The 3,797-nt window shown below is 45.9% G+C and overlaps 1 annotated feature.

Moving 5' to 3' along the window:
• Window positions 1,582-2,121: an enhancer, noted in NCBI's record as "H3K27ac-H3K4me1 hESC enhancer chr12:48030175-48030714 (GRCh37/hg19 assembly coordinates)". NCBI's record gives its function as "activates a minimal SCP1, AML or CMV promoter by ChIP-STARR-seq in naive H9 embryonic stem cells {active_cell/tissue: H9 hESC(naive)}" and the evidence as "EXISTENCE:reporter gene assay evidence [ECO:0000049][PMID:30033119]".

Here is a 3,797-nt window from a genome sequence, read left to right as displayed (position 1 = left end):
TGTTTGAGGAGGCCGAAAATAGGGCTCCAATCCCATCTAGTTTGTAAGGTTTCTCCTGAGAAATCTGCTGTTAATCTGATAGGTTTTCCTTTATAGGTTGCCTGGTGCTTTTGTCTCACAGCTTTTAAGATTCTTTCCTTCATCTTAACTTTAGCTAACTTGATGACAATGTGCCTAGGCGATGATCTTTTTGTGATGAATTTCCCAGGTGTTCTTTTTGCTTCTTGTATTTGGATGTCTAGGTCTCTAGCAAGGCTGGAAAAATTTTCCTTGATTATTCCCCCAAATATATTTTCCAAACTTTTAGACTTCTCTTCTTCCTCAGGAACACTGATTATTCTTAGATGTGGTCATTTAACATAATCCCAGACTTCTTGGAGGCTTTGTTCATATTTTCTTATTCTTTGTGTGTGTGTGTGTGTGTGTGTGTGTGTGTGTGTGTATTTATTGGATTGGGTTAATTCGAAGACCTTGTCTTTGAGCTCTGAATTTCTTTCTTCTACTTGTTCAATTTTATTGCTGAGACTTTCCAGAGCATTTTGCATTTCTGTAAGTGTGTCCAATGTTTCCTGACATTTTGATTGTTTTTTTTCATTAATCTATTTCCTTGAATATTTCTCCCTTCACTTCTTGTATCTTTTGGATTTCCTTGCATTGGCTTTGCCTTTTTCTGCTGCCCCCCTGATTAGCTTAATAACTAACCTGCTGAATTCTTTTTCAGGTAAATCAGGGATTTCTTCTTGCTGTGTTAAAGAGCCTTGTTTTTTCATATTACCAGAGTTGGTTTTCTTTCCTTCTCATTCGGGTAGGCTGTCAGAGGGACAATCTAGGGATGAAGGCTGTTGTTCAGATTCTTTTGTCCCATGGGGTGTTCCTTTGATGTAGTACTCTTCTTCTTTTCCTATAGATACGGCTTCCTGTAAGCTGAGCTGCAGTGATTGGTATCTCTCTCTGGGTCTAGCCACACAGCAAGCCTACCTGGCTCTGGGTTGGTACTGGGGGTTGTCTGCACAGAGTCCTGTGATGTGAACCATCTATGGGCCTCTCAGCTGTGGGAGGCGGCAGGGGGTTGAAATGGACTCTGTGAGGGTTCTTTAGCTTTGGTGGTTTAATGTTCTATTTTTGTGCTGGTTCGCTTCCTGCCAGTAGGTGGCGCTTTCCAGAGAGCATCAGCTGTGGTAGTATGGAGAGGAACCAGCAGTGGGCGGGGCCCTAGAACTCCCAAGAGTATGTGTCCTTTGTCTTCAGCTACCTGGGTGGATAGGGAAGGACCATCAGGTGGGGGTGGAGCTAGGAGTGTCTGAGCTCAGACTCTCCTTAGGGGAGTCTTGCTGCTGCTGCTGTGGGGGCTGGAGGTGAAGCCATCAGGTCGATGGAGTTGTGAACCTAGGAGTATTATAGCTACCTCTGCTGAGTCATGCAGGTTGTCAGGGAAGTGGGAGAAAGCCAGCAGTCACAGGCCTCACCCAGCTCATGCAATCTGAAGGGCTGGTCTCACTCCCACCATGCTCCCCCAGTAGTCCCAAGTCTGTTTCCAGGCAGTGGCTGAGGTGAGCAGGGCTTGAGAACTTGCCTCAGGCTCCCCGCCTCCCAGCTGCAAAAGAACAGGGCTTTGATTCTTTCCCCGCCTGTGGAGTCTGCCCACCGGATTCGCCCCCTAGCCCGAGTTCTGGCCAGGAGGCTTCTCACCCGGTTCAAATTGTTACAAAGTCCAGCTGGAGACTTCCTTCTCCCTGTGGCGTCTTCCCCCATGCCTCTGGTGCCTCCAGGAGGGTCCCTGTGGTTCCAGGCAGGAGTGGCTGCTTGGGGACCCAGTGAGCTCCCAGGGCCTTTCCCACTGTTTCTTCTACCCATGTATTTTGCTTGGCTCTCTAAATTGACTCAGCTCCAGGTAAGGTTGGAAACTTCTCTTGAGTATGACTTTCATTTTCCCCAGTGCGGGTGTGTGTTCAGGAGTGGAGGGTCTCCCTTTCCCACTTCCACAGTTTGAGCACTCACAGTATTTGGGGTGTCTCCTGAGTCCTGCAGGAGCAGTCCGCTTCCTTCAGAGGGTCTGTGGGTTCTCTCGGGATTCCTGGTTTGTTCTCGCAGTCATTCTGGAGCTAAAATGTGCGATGTGAGCCTCTGTATGCTGCTCTGTCTGTCTGAGTCAGAGCTGCAATCTAGTCCTGCCTTCTGTCCACCATAATGATCAACAAGTTCTAATTTTTTTTAATTTTTAAAATTTTATTTTAATTTCAGGGATACTTATACAGGTTTGTTATATAGGTAAACTCGTGTCACAGGGGTTTGGTATACAGATTTTGTCACCCAGATGTACTAAGCATAGTACCCAATAGTAATTTTTTCTGATCCTCTCCCTTCTCCCACTTTCCACCCTCAAGTAGGTCCCTGTGTTTTCCTCTTCATGTCCATGTGTTCTCATTATTTAGCTCCCACTTATAAGTGAGAACATGCAGTATTTTGTTTTCTGTTCCTGCATTAGTTTGTTAAGAATAATGGCCTCCAGCTCCTATCCATGTTCCTGCAAAGGACATGACCTCATTCCTTTTTATGGCTGCATAGTATTCCATGGTTTATATGTATTATATTGTGGCTGCTTTAAAATATTTGTCACATCATTCTGACATCTGTCATTTTGGGGTTGGCATCTAGTAATTGTCTTTTTTTCCTATTCAGTTCAAAAGTTTTCTATTTATGTGACAAGTGATTTTTAAAAGTTGAAACCTGCACATTTTCATATTCTATATGAGATTCTAGATCTTATTTCAACCTTATTTTTAAAACCTATTTTAATTTGACACTTCTCTGGCAGATGAAGAGGAGGGGACACCACTGTGTGAGTGCCAGGTAAAGATAAATGTCCAGGTTCCCCACTGAGCCTCCACTGACACATTGGGGCTAGGGGTGGGAGCCCTTCATTACTGATGGGTAGAGATGAGATTTTTGTTTCCTTGTGTGGTTTCCACTGGCACTGCGGTAGTAGTGGTCTCATTATTGCTGAATGGTGGTGCAAGTCCTTACTCTCCATTAATCCTCCTCAGACACCACCCCATCTGGGAGAAGGATGGGCACCTCATTACTGCCGGTGGAGGTAGAAGTCCAGGTGCCTCATGTGGTCTCCATTGATGCCACTGGGGGAAGGTGCTTGTTACTGGCCAGTGAGGATACAGTTCCTGGTTCCTTACTTGGCCTTGTCTTACAGCAGCCCCCTTGGGCATTGGAGCTCCTCATTAGAGCTTTGTGATAGTGAAAGCCCATGTTTCCTACTTAACTTTTGCTGGTGTGTCTAAGAGTGTGGCCACAGATTTTCCTGTGATGTTTGCCTGGAGTGGAACATTCATTATCTAAAAATCTGTCTTGGCCGGGTGTGGTGGATCACACCTGTAATCCCAGCACTTTGGGAGGCCAAGGTGGGTGGATCACCTGATGTCAGGAGTTTGAGACCAGCCTGGCCAACATGGTGCAACCCCATGTCTACTAAAATACAAAAATTAGCTGGGCATGGTGGCAGGCGCCTGTAATCCCAGCTACTTAGGAGGCTGGGGCAGGAGAATCACTTGAACCCAGGAGGTGGAGGTTGCAGTGAGCGAGATCCTGCCATTGCATGTCAGCCTAGGTGACAAGAGCAAAACTCCATCTCAAAAATAAATAAATTAAATAAAAATAAAAGCCTATCTTGCTTGTCTGGTGCCTTCCTGATAATTTGGCTAGAGAGAGCAGGCTTTGGGGGACTTCTTTTGGTTTATGCCCATTGATGTTTCCAGGTCGTTGGCTTCTTCAGCTCTGGGATACTT

Source organism: Homo sapiens, chromosome 12, assembly GCF_000001405.40.
Source record: "Homo sapiens chromosome 12, GRCh38.p14 Primary Assembly".
Lineage (NCBI taxonomy): Eukaryota > Metazoa > Chordata > Mammalia > Primates > Hominidae > Homo > Homo sapiens.
Note: the sequence above shows the minus strand (reverse complement) of the source record. Positions and strands in the feature narration are given on the sequence as shown.